Genomic DNA, 20639 nt, shown 5'->3' on the forward strand with positions numbered 1-20639 from the left:
TTGCTTGTTTATGTTAGCTTTCAAAAAATATATCAACTCCAATCTTTGCAGTAATCTTTTAAAGCCACCGGTTATTTAGTTTGGCTAAAACCAGAAAATAGAATCCATAAAGCCACTTAACTGGACACATATAAACTCTAATGTGTTGCACTGTGTGGAGAACAAAGGAACTAGTGAGGCTGCCACTGTTGCCCCTGCCACACCATGGAACTTTCCCACCCCTCTGGGTTAACTCGTTTACTGTACATGACACATGACCATCTTAACCAACAAACTGAGTGAAAATGCCCGAATCGTCTACATATCAAGAATTAGAGCATTAGTCAAGATTAGTATCTTTATTTCTGATAATAATAATAATTAGTAGTTCTAGTCTATATCTGGAGGCTACCACTGTGAAACATCATTTGATTTAACGGAAAGAACCACACTCTCTAATTAGTTGGAAGGGTCGACATTTACTTTTCATTCAGTTTCACCCCCTGACCAAGGCCCTAAGCCTGTCATCCAGCTGACACCATAGCATAGAGCATCACGGATGCTCTGTAGCCAAGCCAGGCCCTATCATGATGTTCTGGGATCCAGGGCAGCTAAGGTAAACAGCAATCATCCTAGTGGTTACCTGCAAGTCATTTTGTGGGTTCCAGTCAGAATCAAATATGATGCAGGTATCAGCAGCTGTGAGATTGATCCCCAGGCCTCCCGCTCTGGTGCACAGAAGAAAGACAAAGCGGTCTGAATCTGGCTTACAGAACCGGTCGATGGCTGCCTGGCGCAGGTTTCCCCGTACTCGCCCATCAATTCGCTCATAGGTGTATCTGAGGGGACCCAAATGAACGAAAGCCCAGGCGTTAATCATGACTTCAATGGAGAACAGCACAAAATGCAGGAAGCTGTCGACTGATGGCCTTAAATCCCTCACTTCTAAATTTGGACCAAATGACAGCAGTCTAGAAGGAATCCTGCCCCCTACATATGCAGCAGGGCAGACACTTAAAACTGTATTGCAAAATGCCCCCCTCTCAAAACAGAACAAAACAAAAAAACAAAACAAAGCAAAAAAAAACCAGCTGTAAACTAAGAAGGACTAGAAGAATTAAATCATAAAATACCGATCCCCATAGCCCAAGCAACTTATTCTCTCAAGTATTCCCAGTTTATACTTAAATTTAAGCATAAGACCAGGAAAAACAAACAAAAGCCTTTCCCATCTACTTTGAGTAGTGCTCACAAAAAGGACTCAGAGTTTTCATCAGTTTCCAGCTACTTTAGGGTAAACCAGAAATGGTAAGAAGATTAAACTGTGAGGCAGTCCTTTTATGTCACTTCTAGCCTACCAAGTTCCTCAAAGCTTTGGAGGTACACAGCAAAACCTCCAAGTTTATAGCTGAAACCAAGGTCTTCTGGACAGTAGTACATTGCCAAGCATAAATCACAGGAAAGGTTTTTGAGGTGTGTGTGTGGGGTGAAGGAACTGATGAATAGTTAGAGGAAAATAAAGTAGGAAAGTAAAGCTGAGTATCATTGAGAAGGCATACAACTGTGTGGAAAATCAAGAAACAGGGGTGGAGTGCATGGTAGAGGTAAGGGTAAAAGGAAAAAGAATAAGAAATGAAACTGTTAAGGGAACATATTACCCATGCCCATCTAGAGGGAAAACAGAAGAGACCTTTACGTTGGAGATCATGGGATTAACACAGAAGATATAGCAGCAATCTGGACAGCTGCTGGGCGTCTTATTCTTTTCCTATTTACCCCTGACAACATATGAATTAACAAGGGGGATGTTACTCTGGGCCCAATTTTGACCCACAAACATGAACTGGTTAGTGAAGCAGAAGTAATAGGAAACGTGTGAGAAAAGAACCAAATCACCCCAAACCGACAACAGCCAAGACCATGAATCCTGGCAAAATCCTATCAGCAGCCCAGAATTTGGGAAATCAGATCTCTAAAACTTACATAAATAAGCAGGAAGAAAATAAGGATAGATAACCTAGGGGTAGATAATTCTGTGTGAGGATGGCTTTGGAAAACTAAATCTGGCAATATGATCTTGACTTCCTTGAAGAAAAGAAAAAGCCATGTAAAGAAACCACCCAAGGAAATGTACATGAAGAAACCTGACCAACTCAGACTTATAAGGGACATGTATAAAGCAAAGAAACAAGTCTGAAAATGCTGTCTCCCTTTTATAAAGCCACAATACAACCATACCTAAAATTAAGGGTACAATTTTTTGTTTCCTCTTTATTTAAAATTATAATACACTCAAGAATAATAAATGAGAACTACAGCAGCAAATGAAACAGGCGGTGGTGATAGGATTGTCATGAAGGCAGACTAAAAAGATTTTGTGTCATAGACAAAGGCTAAGGATTAGATGTCTGAATTCTATAGATTTAATTATCACCATTATTCCTAACAACCACAATAATAATATTAGCAGCAAATTCTTAAGTGTCAGTTCTGTGCCAAACCCTGTGGTACATGCTTGGTACACATCATTACATTTAATTCTCACAATAGTCCTATGAGGTAGTTTCTATTATCATCCTCATTTTACACTTAGGAAACCTAAAAACAGAACAAAACAAAAATTCATACAAGTAACATATCTTGCTCAGTCATCTAGCTGGTTAAGTGAGTTAAACCCACATCCATTTGACTTAAAGCTTTCACACTGTACCTTACATTTCAATGCAGTAGGACAGAAAGGTTTTCCTAAACACTTAAGAAGAGAAATGGAGAATACATAAGGGACACTAGTAAACTTTGGAAGCTTGTAACTCTAACAGGAGATGGAAACAGAAACTATAACTAGGTATCAAAACATTTTTGATAAATCAGTGCTCAGGATCTGTAACAGTTACAGAAGTTTAGCCATGTATGTGATGCAATAGAGGAAGCACAATACTTGGAGTCAAAAACAGGGTTGAGATTCAATTAAAGAACAGCCATTTCCCCCCCTCTACCCTCCACCACCAACACACATATGAATGATTAATGCTGCAGGAAAAGACTCCATGCTCTTTGAAAAAACACCCCTAGTCATCAGAGTTAGATACCACATAGATCAGAGTGAGGCTGGGAATTAGCACAGCCTTAAGGGGGAGGGGAAATCAATACATAGTGATGATACAGCTCAGCCATCACCTAGGGAAACCGTTCCCATAAAATTAGATAAGTGTTTTTGTGTATTATAATGTAACAACACTTTTAGAACTTTTAGAACAAGATGAATGGAATAATTCTCTATCACTTGTTTAGTTTTGAGGGAGTGCTCTCAAAGAACACAAAACTTAAAAAAAAATTGAATTATTTGAGCTCCTCCCTCACTTTTGAGCCAGATCCTCTGGCCATGCCCTCATTCCTGTGTGAGAGTCTGGCATGAAATTAAATGGGAACAAAACCAAACTGACAGCTGGAGAGGCAAAGAGGCTCAAGAACAAAGAAAACCTTGAGGGCTAATAAGTCTGAATGAAGAAATCAGACATCATAAAATTTTCCACACTGAACTTCAGCACAGCAATTAACCCTCTGTGACAACTGTATTTTTAACAAGATCCCTAGGAGTTGATATGGTTCAAACTGTAATTCTGAGTCACTATCAAATACTATCAAGTATCAACAAGCAGCAGGTGGCACCCTGGAAAAAACCTCTATGTGACTGGCCAGGAGTAGACTGACATGTTTTTGGCACAAGAAATGTTGACTTTAGAAAGGCCTGAAGGGAAATGAACAACTTTCTGGTCTCCCAGCAATAATCAACTGGAAAACATGAAGAGTTAATTTAAAAAAAGAAAACCAAAAAAGCAAAACAAAACAAAACCAACACCAAAAACCATTCACAACAGTTACAAGCATATAAAATACTTAGGATTTAATTCAGTAAGAAATATGAAGGCTTGGTAACATAACACTAAGGGGCCATGCTTTGTTCACCATTATGACTGTAATACCTACAGAGGTTCTAGCACAATGCAAACACTTTACAAATATTTACTGAGACAATAGTGTATATGAAGGACCCAAGTTAAGTGTAGTGAAAAGCATGTTCTTTGATTTTGCAAAGATGTCAGTCTAAAAAAATAAAGAAAGAAAGAAAAAGAAAAAAAAAAGCTAAAAAAATCCCAACACACGAATATATGTGTATATATAAACATGTAAATGTGTATGTATGTATACATACATCTATACATACACACACATTTTTCTGGAGTTAGGGGCTGGAGCAGACAGAGACAGATAAATAAGCCAGGTATGGTGGCTCACTCTTGTAACCCCAGCAATTTGGGAGGCCAAGGCGGGAGGATGACTTGAGGCCAGGAGTTCAAGAAGAGCCTGGGCAACATAGTGGGACCTCACCTCTACAAAAAAGAAAGAAAAATCAGACAGGCATGGTGGCCAATGTGCCTATCGTCCTAGCTACTCAGGAGGAGTAGGTGGGAGGATTGCTTGGGCCCATGAGTTCAAAGTTGCAGTGAGCTATGATCACGCCACTGCCCTCTAGCTTGGGAGACAGAGCAATACCCTGTCTCTAAATATAAATAAATAAATAAATAAATAATTCTGAAGTTCATCTGGAATATTAAATATGCAAAGGAATAAAACTACTGATCAAAAGACTAGAAAGGCTAGACATTTATCCAGTATACATAATATCTCCCTATATTTCATAGAATTTTATGAGTCAGGGAAATAGACTATTTTACTAAACAGAAAATTAGAAAATTCAATATATTTGGAAATAAATGAAAATAAGACTTCGATTATATGCCATTTACCAAAATTACAGAAGGGCTAAAGACTTAAATGAAAAAAAAATCAAATAATCCAGTTAAAGATTATGAATTTAACATACACATTTAATTCTTTGATCTCTCCAAACCTCTAGTAAAATGACAGTAAAGGATGTTTTAAAAAGGTATAATCCCTTCCCCAATTAAATCCACCAAAAGAACAGAAGTGATAAAATTCTGGCATCTGGAAAGTCGTATTTGATTTGAAGAAGGCAGAATCCCAGGCAAGACACAACCTAATTTAATAGTGCAGAACACGTGACGGGATCAAACATTGGTGGCACTAGGTATCCCCGAAAGCAGGGACGCAGAGTCTAAAAACAGGGAAACTGGTGGAATATTTGCTGAAGTATTTACTTAGCCTCTAGATCACCTACCCCAGCCTTGAAGAGGGTAAAATAAAAGATCTTGATCCTCTCTACTCTAGAAGATACTAACCACAGTTAAAAGTGAATGTACCATGCTGAAAAGGGGAAAAGAGACAGAGATAGTGGGAGCCCTTACTCTTTCTCACCCCTCCCCCACAATTAGCTCTAAATACAGTCAAGTTTCCACCTATAGGCAGGGGAGAGTAAGAGGAACAGGACCTCAAAATGCTGATATAGAAGGGTCCCCAATGAAAATGGTCCAGCCAGATGCACAGTGCTCCCATATGGAAAGTGAAGTGCACAGTCAACAAGCCTTGCTCACATACTCAGAGCTTCTGGTTGGCTCCACAGTGCCCCCCCATCTGATGGCCTAAGATATCAGACATGAGGCTGATATGAAACACACAGCCTCTGCTTCTGGTAAGGAGGAGCAAGGTCCTAACACACCAACCCTCTAGCAAATGACAAATTCTGGACAAACTATAAAAACCAAAATGAATGAACAGAAAAACCTACCTGAGGGCACTGGCGAGTTAACAAAAGCAGACAGATCTTGGAGAAGAATAGAAATTTGTGGTTTCAGCCAGAGGGGAGGCCACAATTATGGTGGCAAGGTGTTGATCAGCTGTAATTGATAAAAGCTGTTGTCTTTCTGACACACATCAGGGGAAGGTACCTAGGGCAACTAAGACTGCCAGAGAGTGAGAGGGGACCCCCAGAAAGCAGAGAAATAGAGATGGGAACCCCAAACTCTGGGTATAAACTCTGCCCAAGTTTCTGGCTGACTTCTGACTCACACTTGCTCGGGCCTGATTGTGGTAGTCTGAAATGGGAACTACTGTCTACCAGACACATTGACAGAGTTTGCACTTTGAGCACAACCTAGTTAACTGCTTCCAAATAAAACCCATCAACATCTTCAGAGCAATATAACAGAATTCTAAATCTCTAGAACATAATATTCACTAGGGCTAGGGAAAAATTCAGTTATTCTCATTCTCAAGGGAACAGGCAATTAACAGATGTCAACGTCAAACCTACAATGTTATAATTCAGACAAGAACTTTAAAGCTGCTATTATGCTGACGCTTAATGAAGTCAAGGAATGTTAAGTAATGAATAAAAAGAAAAGAAAACTCAGCAGAGAAACAAAACGTTAATAAACATAGAACCAAATGGAAATTTTAGAACTAATAAATAAAGCATAGAGTGTGCTTAATAAGCATGATGGAGATGATAAAGAAAAGTCAGTGAACTTGAAGACAGATAAAAGAGAGAGAAAAAGGGTTTTTAAAAAAACAGAGCCCATGGACTTGTGGGGAATTATCTCAAGGTCAAATAAACAGGTAATTAGTCTCACAAATAACCAAGAGAATGGGGCAAAAACAAAAAAGAAATTGAAGAAATAATGATCAAAAGCTTCTCAAATTTGATGAAAGACATACATTTACAAATTCAAGAAGCTCAGTAAGCAGGATGAATCCCAATGATCACAGTTAAACTGCTGAAAACCAAAAATTAAAAAGAAAATCTTAGAAGTAGCCAGAATAAATTAATGTATTGCACACAGGGAGCAGCAATGTGAATGACTGCAGAACTTTTCATAAGAAACCACGGGGACCAGGGCACAGTGGACTAACACTGTAAAGAGCTGGAGGGGGAAGAAAAGGAAAAAAAAGTGAACCTAAAATTCTAATATGAAAGACAGATACAAACAAATGGGAAAAAATATGACTTGGAGAAAACAGATGAAGATAAAAAAATTCTATCCTGATAAGCCTTAGAAAGACAGGAGAAGACACTGTACTTGTGAAATAACCAGTGCTATTAAAAATGGAAAAATTACAAAAAATGTTCTGTGAAATTAAAAAATATAATGAAAGATAAAGTCAAGAAAATTCCCCAGCATCTGAACTTAGATTTCAGATGGGAAAGATCTATTTAGTATCCAGCACCAATGAAGCAGTTCACTGTAAAATTTCATAGGACTGGGGACAAAGAGAATACATAAAAACTTCTAAAAAGAACAAACATAACACATACACAGACTAAGAATCCTACAGGCTTCGAACTTCTCAATGGCAACCCTGGAAGCTAGAAGACAGTGGATTAACACCTTCAAAATTCTGTAGGGAAATGATTTACAACCTAGAATCTCAAATCCTGCGAATAGATTCCTTAAGAATGAGAGCAGAGTAAAACATTTTCAGACAATGTCTCAAAATTTACTTATCATTCACCCTTTCTCAGGAGCTCCTGGAAGAGGTGCTCCAACATGGAATCCACCAACAAGAAGATCTGATTTAAGAGGAAAAAAAAGAAAGCTGTCAGCATGAGAAACAAGGCAGATCACAGCTGACAACTGTGTACTCTGTGGGGAACAGCAACAGGCCAGGGAGGAGGAAGTCAGGAGGCCCCAGAAGGTATGGCCTAGAGAAGAGGAAACTGATGTGTTGGAACATAACCAGAGATTTAGACAACCAGGGTAAAGTTTGCTGCTGAATTATAATAGGTGTATAGAAAAATAAGCAATCAAAAAGATAATTTTTAGTTTCAGAGAAAATAAAAACTGTACAAAAATGAAAAGTAAACAGCACATGACATAACTCAGCTGTAATTTCACATTTTCCTAAGTCATAATAAACAACAAATATTAACCTAACTCAAAGTATTATGTGGCATACTGGGAAGATGAGAGGACAGGAAGTTGTATACATGACGGTATGAGGAGCAGTGAAAGAAGGCTAAACATTCATCTTCCACAGTGAGAACGGATAATACCTACAACTGAAAAATATCAAGAAATTACAACTAATATCATTATTTAGATACAGCTATAAATACCAAAAGAAATAGCATAAAGAGTTGAAAGTAAATGCTTCTGGGATATGAGAAACTGGGGGAAGGTAGAGAGTGAATTAGCAAATAATTTTTCATTAAGTGTAATAGAATGATATGGCTCTTTAAATTATGTGCACATACAACTTTAATGAAAATAAAAACTAAACTAAAAAGAGAAAGGCAATGATAATATTAAGGCCAGAAGAACCCTGTTGGATGCAGCTTGGGTGAAGAAGCCATAAACATGAAAAGAAGAGCTGGGTATGGTGATCTATGCCTATAATCCAGCTACTCAGGAGGCTGAGATGGGAGGACCACTTCAGCCTAGGAGTTTGAGGCCACAGTGACCGAGCCACTGTACTTCATCTTAGGTGACAGAGCGAGACATTGTCTCAGAAAAAGAAAAAAAAATATATATATATATACACTTCAGAATATTTATATGGGTCTCACGGTTAAGATGAGAGAGAAGCCTTTTAAAGCACATTAATTTAAGCTTAAGTTCAGGCCTAAAAAAGGATTTAAAGTTGTTTTAAGACAAAGATTTGACTATTATAAAATTTAGGACATCAAAAAATAAAATAAATGAAAACCCATACTCATAAATAAAATTAAAGAACAAAAACAACACTGGGGAAAGTTTTTGCAACAAATTCTTATAAATAAACAAAAAGTCAAAGACCAAGAGAAAATGCATGAAAAACATGAATACACAATCCACAAAAATGAAATATAAATAACAAATATGAAAAAATACTCACTCTCATTAGTAATCACAATTACAAATTAAAGAGAGAATAATTTTGAATTACTGGATTAGCAAAGATTAAGAAGTAAAAACAATATTGATCAGAATATGGAAAAAAGCATTCTCATATGATATTTTGGAAAGGAATATAAATAAAACACTCTTAACTAGAGGGCATTTTGGAAATACTGAGTGTATCAAATGTTTTTAAAAATGTGCACTGACATTTATCCTAAAGAAATAATGAAAACGTTAAGTACTTTAAAGGGATATTCATTTATAGAGTCCCTTAAAATGCTGAAAAATTGGAAATGTTTAAAATAGAGTATCACATAGATCATTAAAATTTTGTTGTAGAAAAATAAAGAAAAAAATTTCATAATATATTAAATAAAAAATAAGAGTTACAAAGTGCAATGTAGAACAGCACTGCAATTCAAACAAACAATAAAGCTAAACATATTTATGCAGAAAAAAACAGACTGAGAAGATAACCCCCAAGATGAATGGGGAGTTGTGCAGGTGGTAGTGTTACATTATTTCCGCATTTTCAAGAGAAACTACAATCTTAAGTAATTTGAACACAAAATGAGCAATAAATAATAAAGAGAAAATAGCATAAAAGAGAGCTAAATAAAGACTTCTGTACTTACCAAAAGTCTGTTATATACACCTTTACTCATTTTGGGGGGTTCTTTTTTAAAAATCTGCAAACTAACAGTTGTACATATTTTAAAGAGTAAGATAATATAAGAAGCAAATGCTCTGGCAATAGGCTCCTAATCTATAGTGAATTGAAAGCTACAAAACTGCTTTGCAAGTTTTGATTTATTCATGTAATACAAGTCTCAAGAATCCTTTACATAGAAATCTCTCCTATAGAGCTCTGAGGAATTATTTTATTGTCTAATCAGACTTTGAAGAATCATTTATGTTACATTAAGTGTCAGCATACCCATAGTTTAATTTGTCATTTCTTTTAATCCTCTTGCTATAAAGTACATGTAATGTACAAGGGCAAACAGAATGTTAAAGAATAAGAACATCTGTTAAGACACCCGAGATTTGCTATGAAAACAAGATTTTCTTTAGACTTAGCAATGCCTAGGCTACCAGTTTCTATGATCTTGAAAGTCTTTTATCATTAAGAATGAATTTTTAAAAACTCATTTGTCATCTTCAGATCATTGATGTGTCACAATGACGGAAAATCTAAAGTAATACACATGAGGTAACAAATGTAGTTTCCATACAGAATCCAAATAACCCACACAGCACCACAGACTTTTTACTTGCATGAGGAATGTAACTTAGATTCAAGGAATTCTAAGAGTATGAACAAGAAAATAAATTGGGATGCCATAGCCAGTGCATCATAAAACCTTAAGAGGGCTTGCTGAGAAAGGACATAAAATATCCCCACATTCTTTCTCTGTGAGTTGCCAGTTTATGCTCTTTCAGGAATTTGATATAGTGATGATTTCCAGGATATATTTCTTTCACCATTATTAAGCAACAAAAATGTAAATACATTATTTTCTTAGCCCTTTCTAATGCTATTTGAATTATTTCCTCCAACTAAAGTGAATATAAATAAATATGTGGAATTTTTTTTTTAAGCAAAGCAAGGACTGTACATCATAGGTCATGAAATTTACTCTTGACAGTTAAACTTGGGTCCATTTGGTCATAAAATTTAACTCTGAATTTCAGTCTATCTTTAAAAGGAGATTCCTTTCCTCCGTTTTTGAATGTTTTGTGTTTAAACAAAATTTTTGAATGGATCAAAAAAATATCAAAGGAAAGGAACTGTCCCATTGTTGAATGCAGAGCTTTGACACAAGTCTCACCTTCTCTGGATGAGGTAATCTTCTAGGATGTCGAGGCAGCGCACCATCTGGGAGAAGATGAGTACTTTGTGGCCACCTGCAATCAGCTTAGGGAGTAGTTTATCAATCAACACAAGCTTTCCTGCTGCCTGAATCATGGCCTGCAGCTGAAAGTCAGGGGCATCAGGGCTGTGGGTTTTTCGGAAATCTTCTAGAATTTTCTCCTCTGCTCCTGAAAAGGAATGGAACAAAACTATTCCTCGGACAGAATATAAGGATAAAGGTTGTACTCTGCTTTACAGATCCTGGGAAAAATGAAGTGAATTCTTAGGTCCTAGACCAGCAGTCCAGTGAGGAGATGCTGGGTGCACTCTTTGGTCTGTGCCTTCAGCAGAGGGCTCTGCAGTGGCAGCAGGAGAGAATGCGGGTGCTCCACTCTCCTGGGAAGTCTCACCAAGTAGAGAGAGGATCTGAGATACCAAGTCCTAAGCTGACTCACCCAAGTAAAGAAACCTTCCCAGACAAGAAGGACTTTCATACCTCTTGACATCACAAAGACTGTAAGATAATCCAAGCCACATTTTGATTTTAAAATTTCTCCAAAAGTTTCATAGTAAAAAAAAATCCTCCCAACATTTTCTCTAACTAGTTTGGTTAACTGTTAATTTGTCTACAGAGAGTTTTAATCTCATTGCAGCACTTTCACTGATTCAACTAAGTAACACATTTCCCTGTCCCCAAGTAGAAAGTGTGGGCCAGACTTTGAACAAATAAAGGGCAGCAAACTGGTGAGTGATATCCATCTTCTGCCCGGCAGAGTACATGCTGTGAGGCAGCTTGTTGGCAGAAGTTAAGTTCAAACCTTGGCTCTTGGTCCTTAGTAGCTATACCACTTAGGCAAATTCATCAAGCTCTCTGAATCTCAGTTTTATACTCTGTAAAAAGGTGAGAATGCGTACATCCTAGCATATAATGAAAATTCAATACATGAGTTATTTGATTATCATTAGCTTCTCGCAGAGGTCATGGCAGTCCTGAGTTACTTCCTAGTGCCCCTGACTCACCATTGATCAGGTAGGGATGGTTACAGCACTTCCTCAGCTCCATCATGGTGTTGATGAGATTGGGCATGTTGTGCTGATTTGCCCCCTTGGTCAGGAAGGAAAAGTTCTTCTCGAGGATGGCACGGTAGTACTTTTTCTGGATATTGGTCAGTTCCACCTCAATGATCGTCTCTTGTTTGGGAGCAAGGTTCTTTTCCACATCATCTTTCAGCCGCCGAAGCATCATTGGTTTTAGGATAGACTGCAGTTTCTTTACCTGTCCAGGGAAATGAGACCTAGTTACCTGCCTCAATCCCAAGTTAACGATTACTGGGGTATTCCAACCTTCACTCTAATTTCTTGAACATTTACCCATAGTACTGTGGTAGTAGACTAAAAGAAAGATTATGATCGACCCCTGAAAATGGAGAGTTTATAATAGTACTGAAAGGGAATAAGGGATATGATTTTAATTCACAAGCAATTACTGAGAATCTAGTGGCAATCTCAGAAGATAAAAAGGGAGAAAGGTATAAAAGAGTACCTATTCTCTAGGATGGAGAAAACATGTCTCTCTGTCATTCTTTCTCTAATACACACACCACATGCACAGTAATTACCTGAAGAGTATTTTAAATTATGTTCGGAGGTATGAGTGATATATTACAAGGAAACTTAGACGCTGAGAGAATGGAGTAAGAAGTAGAGATGATCTGGAAAACAATTCCTCCTATACCTTTTAAGTAACAATAGCAGCATACATGCTTGGGTGTAGCAGTATGTAAAGAACTAATGTTATAGGTGACATCTACTCTATCATGGAATCTGTCACATCAGGGGCACTTTAAGTCTGATGGTGTTCTTTGCTACAATTTGTCTGTTCTTCCCCTAAAAGCACAGGCCTGGACAGCAGATCTTTATGCAACTGACTGCACCAGCAAGGTGACTTGTTCCCCCTCCCAGTGAGACAATGACAGACTGAGGGATTCAAAGTCAAAGTACCTGAGTTAACCTGGAGCTAAAACATGATACCGGTAAGATTAACTCTGATGGTAAAACAAAATAAGGGAAGATGAAAGTGCAAAAGAAATCACGTTTCAAGTCAGAAACGGCTGTTCAAAAATTTAAAAGGGGTAGACTCTGCATAAACAAGTTGTGTGCTGCGAGATTGCTTCCTGAAGAAATATAAAGTGATTTACAGAGAGTGATTTAGAAGAGTTACTTACAAAAGCACATTTTAGACAATGATGAACATGCTTTATTTTGCAAACAGATGCTTTCCAGAACGTTTATTTACTGTGTTTTAAAATACAGACATCTCATAGAGCAGAGATTAGAGTAGTGGTTACCAGGGACTGGGGGGTGGGGCGGGGTAGGGAGGTATTGTTCAAAGGATACAAAATTTTAGTTAGACAAGTGGAATAAGTTCAAGAGATCTACTGAACAACATGGTGACTACAGTTAATAACAATGTACAGTATTTCTGAAGATTGCTGAGAGTGGATTTTGAATGTTCTCACAAAAAGCATGTGCTAATTAGCTCTATTTAGCCATTCCACCATGTATACATATTTCAAAACATATTGTACGTGATAAATACATATTTTGTCGATTAAAAAAATAAAGCCAAAAAATTTAAAATTAAATTGTTATATATAAATATTAAAAAGAAGTTTTGATGTCATTTTTATGGTTTTCTCCTACCTAACTCCAATCTTAATCTTTTTATGAGACTTTCATTTTTACCAACCAAGGGTACTTAGAAATCGAATCCCCCATATGGGTAAGGAATTACTATATAAGAACCTAAAGAGAAAAGACACAGCTAGCTGATTGTTAAAGATAGGGACAAATGTCAATCTGCCACATGCTGGGTTCAGCTTTTGCCCTTCTCTTGGTTCATACCTTGAATCATTTAGAGTTTACTATATGCCAGACATTGTGCTGGTCAATACAACAAACACAACTTGGGAGAAGATGTGGGCCTTGTCCTCAAGGAGATCTTTTGTCTAGGAAGAAGAAAAAATGCATACCACAAATTAAGTGCAATGGGAGAAGAGGATGCATTTCTAATGGTCCAAAAACGGAGAGAAGGTTAGAGCTGGCTTTTGAAAATCAATAGATAGGGCAAATGTAGGAATTAAGTTTGATTATTCACTGCTCTGATGCAAGCCTGACTTGCATCAGAAGTAGGAAGAAAGAGATTGGAACCCCAGGGTGTACGCTTGACATGTGGGCAAAATTCCCAAACCTTTTCATTCCCCTCATTCTTTGCCCCAACCCACTTACACACCATTGCTGGATTAATTTGGCAGAGCTAATTATGTCATTCCTGTAATAAGGTCTTGCATGGCTTCTCTGTTACCTACTGAATTCTTCAAACTACCTTTCAACATCTTCCCACAATATAACCCTAAACACTTCTGCTTATATTTTCCAATTCATCCACTCTGTTTTCAGTTTAATCAGATGTTTCCCCACTAGTGAATAACTACCATGACTCTGATTATGCTGGGTTTTTTTTTTTCTATGCAGAGTGGTTACCACCTCTTCTCTCCACACCTGTTAAAAGCTGCCCATCCCTCAAGATGCATTTTCAAATTGTACTCTCTCCCTAGAGTCTTTTCTAATTCTCAAATAGATGTAACCTGTCTCTCCTTTGAAGGACCACCTCTACTATTTGTTCCTCTTATGGCACGTACATTTGTCTGGGTTATTTCTATAATCCCTAGTGGAGATTCTATAATCCCTAGTAGAGTATTTATTACTATCAGTTGTTTTTTATTAGCTTTGAGTCCAACAAGGTAGACTTGGAACTGGACCTTGAAAACTGCAGAAATGCAGTTGATCTGGACAAAAGTGGACTTATCAACTACTCCAGGTATGTGACTGCCTTCTTTTCCTCACTACCTGTGTATTGTGCTGTATGCAAGAAGATGGGCCTGGGAACAAGTTGCAGATTTTGAAGGGAAAAGGATGAAGGATGAGGGAAGCAAAAGAAAGCACCATGCTCCTGAGACCAGAGCTGTAAGCAAAATCAGCGAACGCACAATATGTGAAATTAGTGAAGCAAGGAGGCCCGATACACCAACATAAAATATTTTGGGCGCATAAGATATTTTGGGTATGGACCCATCTATCCTCTGGGGCAATAAGAACTGCTAATAATCAGCGTACCCGCCCCAACATACACAAACACATAAAATAAAGGAGGTAACGCTCATTTTACCAGGAACGTGACAACTTGCTAAATCCTGGCCCCATAGCATCCTGCTCTTTTCTTGATGAAGATAACGATCACACTGTCTCCTCAATTCTTTGGGTCCCTAATTACCTGCTCCTCTGTTTTCAGATCTCCAAATTCCTCCAAGAAAGCGGTCTCTGAAGGAAACTGTGATGGCTCCAGAAAATTTAACAAACTGAAGAGCTCCTCCACAGAGTTCTGCAAGGGTGTTCCAGTGAGAAGCACTTTATGTTCCTGCGCAAATTAAACATACATGATGGACAGTGCTTGAGCCATCAAAATAGTGCATTTTCGTGGGGAAAATTAAGCCAGGGCATTGAGTGCTCAATTTGGGGCAATTCTGATCTGCTTTAATGAAAAGATAATATGCCATCATAGGGGTACAGTCAATAAACGAATCAACCTTCCTTTCACATCACTGATTCCAGCAGCACGTTCATGTTAATTAAAGCAACTATTCACTCATTCACTAAATATTATTGAGTGCCTCCCCACCAGATACTGGGCACTGTGCCAAGGCAGTAATGTTAAAAGGGCATCATCTTTGGTACCAGTTCATTTAGGGGCCTGGAAACCAGCCAAAACACCTTACATTTCCAAGTCATATATTTCATGGTATTTAAGAGTCCTCCTAAGTCTATGGAAATCAATCTGTGGCAAAGGTCAAATTGTTGACCCAGTTTGTAACCAAAAAATCTTAATTCCTATACTATTGCAGTTATAGAGACCAAAAAAGAAAATCTAATGTAAAACGACTAGGCAGAAATAAGTTACATGCAGAATGGCTAAAGAGTGTTTCCTCCAAGCTGAACAAAAGGAACCTGTGTTTATGTAAAGAGATGCTAACTCTCACCAGGGCCATAAGCTTTAGACCCTCCAGAAGTTTGCAGTTCCTATTCTTCAGTCTGTGGGCTTCATCAATTATCACACAGCTCCAGTGAATCTTCTTCAACTCTGGGCAGTCTGCTAGGATCATTTCAAATGTTGTGATGACGACGTGGAACTTGAAGACTCCTGAAAGGGGGTTTCCCTGAGGATGACACAACCAAAGTCAAAGCTTTACACCATGGCTATAGAATTCTGCTAATATCTGCTGGACTACAGGAGGCAGCACTACAGATGCTGGGGCCTAGGTGAGAAGACAAGCACTGCTTTTCCTCATGTGAGAAAAGAGAATATAAGAATTAACGAGCTAGTTAGCCAGAAGGCCTCACACCATCAATGAAACAGAAGCGAGACAACATCTGCCCTCACAAAGGTGAGAAGGATGGGCAATATGGAAGGCACAGCAAGGGAGCATTTTTATTTATTAGCTGTCATGATAAGGAAATCAGATAGGTGTTGTTCACAAGTCCCCAGCCAGGAGTCCATCTAAACCATGCATAGTTTGAATGCCCAAAGGAAACTCTCTGCTATTTTTCAGACTTAATTTCACCTTATAATTTGAGTTCTAGCACAGATTGAAGGTAATGATTCTGATGCACCTAAGACAAGCGCTACTAGGCAGGACACAGCTTTGTTTTTCAGACTGTCTTGGTGTTGCCATCACATTTCAAGAGCAGAGCTGCATCATGTTAGAGCACTTCTTAAATGTCTTCCAAGTGTCTCTGCTGTTTTTGAAACCTCTGGAGAGACCACTGGCTTTCCTCTGATTGAAATCGTTTAATTTTTACCTTAATTATAAAAACCAATGTGCAGGACAAACACACAACTATATTCAGCTAAGTGACAGCACTTAAAAACTTAAAGAGAAAATGTTGCTGTTGGGTTTCTAATGATTTGAAACCTATTTTCTCTTTATCCTTCTCTGTCAAATCTGTTAACCTCCTCTCCAAACTCCCTGGCTGGGAATCCATTCTCTGTATAGTAATTCTTTTGCTCACTTTCTTCACTGAACACATAACAATTCAGATAAAATCTTCTGCATATAAAAGTAACTTCATAAACCAATAAGTAAGTCAAACTTTCAGTGTCCTAAAAAAGGTATATCTCAGAGTTTAGACAGCATGCCCTACAATCCTGTGTTGTATCATAAATTAAAACGAGCTACCAGGGAGAGCAGGAGTCAGCCTTGACAAACATATTACAAAGTCATTCCACATTAATACAAGATGCAGGGCACTGGAACTTCTGAAGATAAGTGACAGAAAGGCTGTTCTGAGCTTAGGCAGTCCCTGGGTCTCTGATCTCACGTGAGGCTCACCTGGGCGTCTCTGTACACCATTTCATACTGCTGGATCATCTGCCTGCTGATCTGGCTGCCGTGGTACACAATGGCATTCATCTCTGTCCATGTCCGGAACTCCCGCTCCCAGTTAGTGATGGTGGAGAGAGGGGCGATAATGAGAAAAGGGCCGTGGATTCCTCTCAGAAATATTTCTGAAAGGAATGTGATGGACTGGATGGTTTTCCCTAGGCCCATCTCATCAGCCAAAATACAGTTTTTTCTGCAGAGAGTGAGAAATATAGGTAATTCATTATCAATATAGGAAACTTATAGAGGCTGGTTATAACTTGAAAAGATGCTTCACATACCTGTAAGATTATCATTGAAGGCTTTATCATCATTTCACATATTAAACTGAGGTTAGTTATTATTATTATTCCTACTTTGCCTACTTCCAAAACAGAACCATGCTAATTTGGGAGAAAATACAGTCATGTGTCACTTAAGGATGGGGTCACACTCCGAGAAACGCATCACTGCGTGACTGTTTCATTGTGGGAACATCATAGAGTGTACCTACTAAACCTAGATGGTATAGCCTACTACATACCTAGGCTATGTGGTATATAGCCTATGGCTTCTAGGCTATAAGCCTATACAGCATGTCATTGCAGTGAATACCGTAGGCAATTGTAACACCATAGTAAGTATTTGTGTATCTAAACATGTCTAAACACAGAAAAGGCAAAGTAAAAATAGAGCAAAATATAGATTAAAAGTGGTATACCTGGCCAGGCGCGGTGGCTCACACCTGTAATCCCAACATTTTGGGAGGCCAACGCGGGCAGATCACCTGAGGTCAGGAGTTCGAGACGAACCTGGCCAACATGGTGAAACCCCATCTCTATTAAAAATACAAAAACTAGCAGGGCGAGGTGGCAAGTGCCTGTAATCCCAGCTACTAGGGAGGCAGAGGCAGAAGAATCGTTTGAACCCAGGAGGCGGAGGTTGCAGAGAGCTGAGATCACACCATTGCACTCCAGCATGGGTGACAGAGCGAGGCTCTGTCTCAACAAAAATAAAAAATAAAAAAATAAAATGGTATACCTAGGTGATAGGTTGACAGGTGCAGCAAACCACCATGGCACACATTTACCTATGTAACAAACCTGCATATCTGGCACATGTACCCTAGAACTAAAAAATAAACATTAAAAAACAAAAACAAAAAAGGTATACCTATACAGGGGACTTACCATGAATGGAGCTTATAGGACTGGAAGTTGCTCTGGGTGAGTGAGTGAGTGAGTGGTGGGTGATGTGAAGGCCGAGGACATTACCGCACACCACTGTAGACATTATAAATACTGTACACTAAGGCTACACTCAATTTATTTAAAAATATTTTTTCTTCAATAATAAATTAACCCTAGCTTACTGTAACTTTTTTACTGATGAACTTCCAATTTTTTAAAAAACTTTTTGACTCTTAAGTGTTATTACAAAGAGTCAAGAAGTTTTAAAATATTTAAAAGTTTTTGTATAGCTGTATATTCCCATATATATATATATATATTCCTATAAATATATATATATATTTTTTGGTTTTGTTTTGTTTTGTTTTTTGTTTTTTTGGTTAAGGATTTAGAAATAGAAAACAGCTTTAAAGGATATTCTGGATTTTGTTTCATCTAGATTGAGCCCACCCTTTTGGTGTGGCTGGCCAAAAAAAAAAGGCACAAAGTCAGTGATGTCTAAAGATCATTCCTTTTGGTTGGAGAAACAGCTGACAAAAATAAAGTAAGTCTTGGATGATTAATGTGCAAAGACTACCACCCTAAATTGATGGCCATGCTGCTCCCTCTCACCAGTCTGCTACTGCGACTCTAGGTGTTCCAGGCTAAGGCAATAATATACCTCTGGGTACAAACATCTGGGCTGGTTTTGGTTCCTTACCTGTTATACCAGTTAAAAAGAAGCCAGTTCATCCCTTCCAGCTGGTACTCCCGGAGCTGGTTACTGTTCTTATACTCGCGAGACTTCTCAAGTTTCTGCCAGGAGTCTGAAGCAGGCCGCTCCTAGGGAGGAAAGCAAACAGCATAATAGATAGAGAATGATGTTTTAGGAGCATAACATGGATACTAACGAGGACAGTGGTAAATCTCACTGTCCCAAGGCTGGTTTCAAACTATAGTTATTACCTTCTGAGTAACGTATAGGTTGGGGGAACTAAGTAGGAGTCAGGCTGAGAGAATGGTTAGGAATCCTGATTGCTTCTAGATAATAACTTACAATTAGCTTCAGAATGAAACTCTCCCTGCTTTCTATCTGGTCCGTCACTGCATTACACCACACACCACAATTAGCCTGGTGCTGTATTTATTTATCCATGCACACACATGCTTCTTCCATTAGACTGTGAGCTCCTGAGGGCAGGGCCTGTACCTTGTTTCTTACCATATCTCACACAAGAATCAACCTACAGCAAATGCTTAATAGATGACTGACAAGTTGAATTAAAAGCAGAAAACAGTATTTATGGGAGAGGGTTGAAAGAATAATAATCAACCATGCAAACAAAACACTATTAACTATGTAAGTTTCTAATCACAGTTCTGCATCTCGAGACACCTCTATCTACCTTTCATATGCCAAAGAAAACAAAAACAAAACACTGCTCTTGAATGGACTCCTACAGGGACCTAAGTTTAATGTTCCGAGTATCAACCTTCCAGTGATGTAAAAGCAAGAAATAATATTAATAAGGAACTGGATAACAGTTTTTCATATAAAAATGGCAATGTTTTTTTAAACAGAAACTGATCATTCCAGCCTATAGCCATATTCTTTAACAACTGATTCTCTTTTCAAGTTAGTTACACCTTAATAAAGCTCTGGGCTGGGTGTGGTGGCTCACGCCAAAGTAATCCCAGCACTTTGGGAGGCCAAGACAGGCGGATCACCTGAAGTCAGGAGTTCAAGACGAGCTTAACATGGTGAAACACCATCTCTGCTAAAAACATACAAAAATTAGCCAGGCGTGGTGGCACACGCTTGTATTCCTAGCTACTCAGGAGTCCAAGGCAGGAGAATTGCTTGAACTCGGGAGATGGAGGTTGCAGTGAGCTGAGATTGTGCCACTGCACTCCAGCAACAGACCAAGACTCCATCTCAAAATAAAAAAATAAATAAAAGCTCTGATCCCAACTCCCCTCCTTTTAATTGTTGGATAATCTATATACTTCTCAGGCGCCCTGGGAGATCTTGGCAGTTGAGTGGTAATAATCCAGAATCAGAAAAACAAATAAATTCAATAATGTTTATCAAAAACCTATGTTCTCTCTGTGGGAGTCACAGGGATCTGCAGATAAAGGACAGTTCTTCCACTTAATAATATTCCAGTTGAGTGAAGAAGGGAAAATCAAAGAAAAGAGGTAGCTGATGAAGAGATAAGAAACAGGAAAGATACTACTGAGCTTCTCTTGCACACCAGCCATTACTTACAAATTTTATTTTACTGACTCCATACAACAGCCGCACACCAAGAAATCTAAGCCAATATCAAAGCTTCTTAAATGTCACATACATCAAAATAGA

The 20639-nt window shown here is 38.3% G+C and overlaps 1 protein-coding gene across 15 annotated transcripts in view; it reads right to left on the bottom strand.

Moving 5' to 3' along the window:
* CHD6 (chromodomain helicase DNA binding protein 6) overlaps positions 1–20639 on the bottom strand; it is a 216295-nt gene that overhangs the window by 70617 nt on the left and 125039 nt on the right. For 12 of the 15 annotated variants that reach the window (NM_032221.5, XM_047440549.1, XM_047440545.1 and 9 more), the window contains 7 exons: positions 18999–19120; positions 17079–17322; positions 15729–15905; positions 14966–15109; positions 11653–11908; positions 10610–10820; positions 623–818 (listed from right to left, as the gene is read on the bottom strand). In NM_032221.5, coding sequence (NP_115597.3) covers positions 623–818; positions 10610–10820; positions 11653–11908; positions 14966–15109; positions 15729–15905; positions 17079–17322; positions 18999–19120 — 1350 coding nt within the window. Of the gene's footprint in view, positions 1–622; positions 819–10609; positions 10821–11652; positions 11909–13536; positions 13634–14965; positions 15110–15728; positions 15906–17078; positions 17323–18998; positions 19121–20639 lie in introns of those variants that run through there. The other 3 variants (XM_047440550.1, XM_017028101.2, XM_011529082.3) reach the window with 2 other exon arrangements.

This window comes from Homo sapiens, chromosome 20, assembly GCF_000001405.40.
Source record: "Homo sapiens chromosome 20, GRCh38.p14 Primary Assembly".
Lineage (NCBI taxonomy): Eukaryota > Metazoa > Chordata > Mammalia > Primates > Hominidae > Homo > Homo sapiens.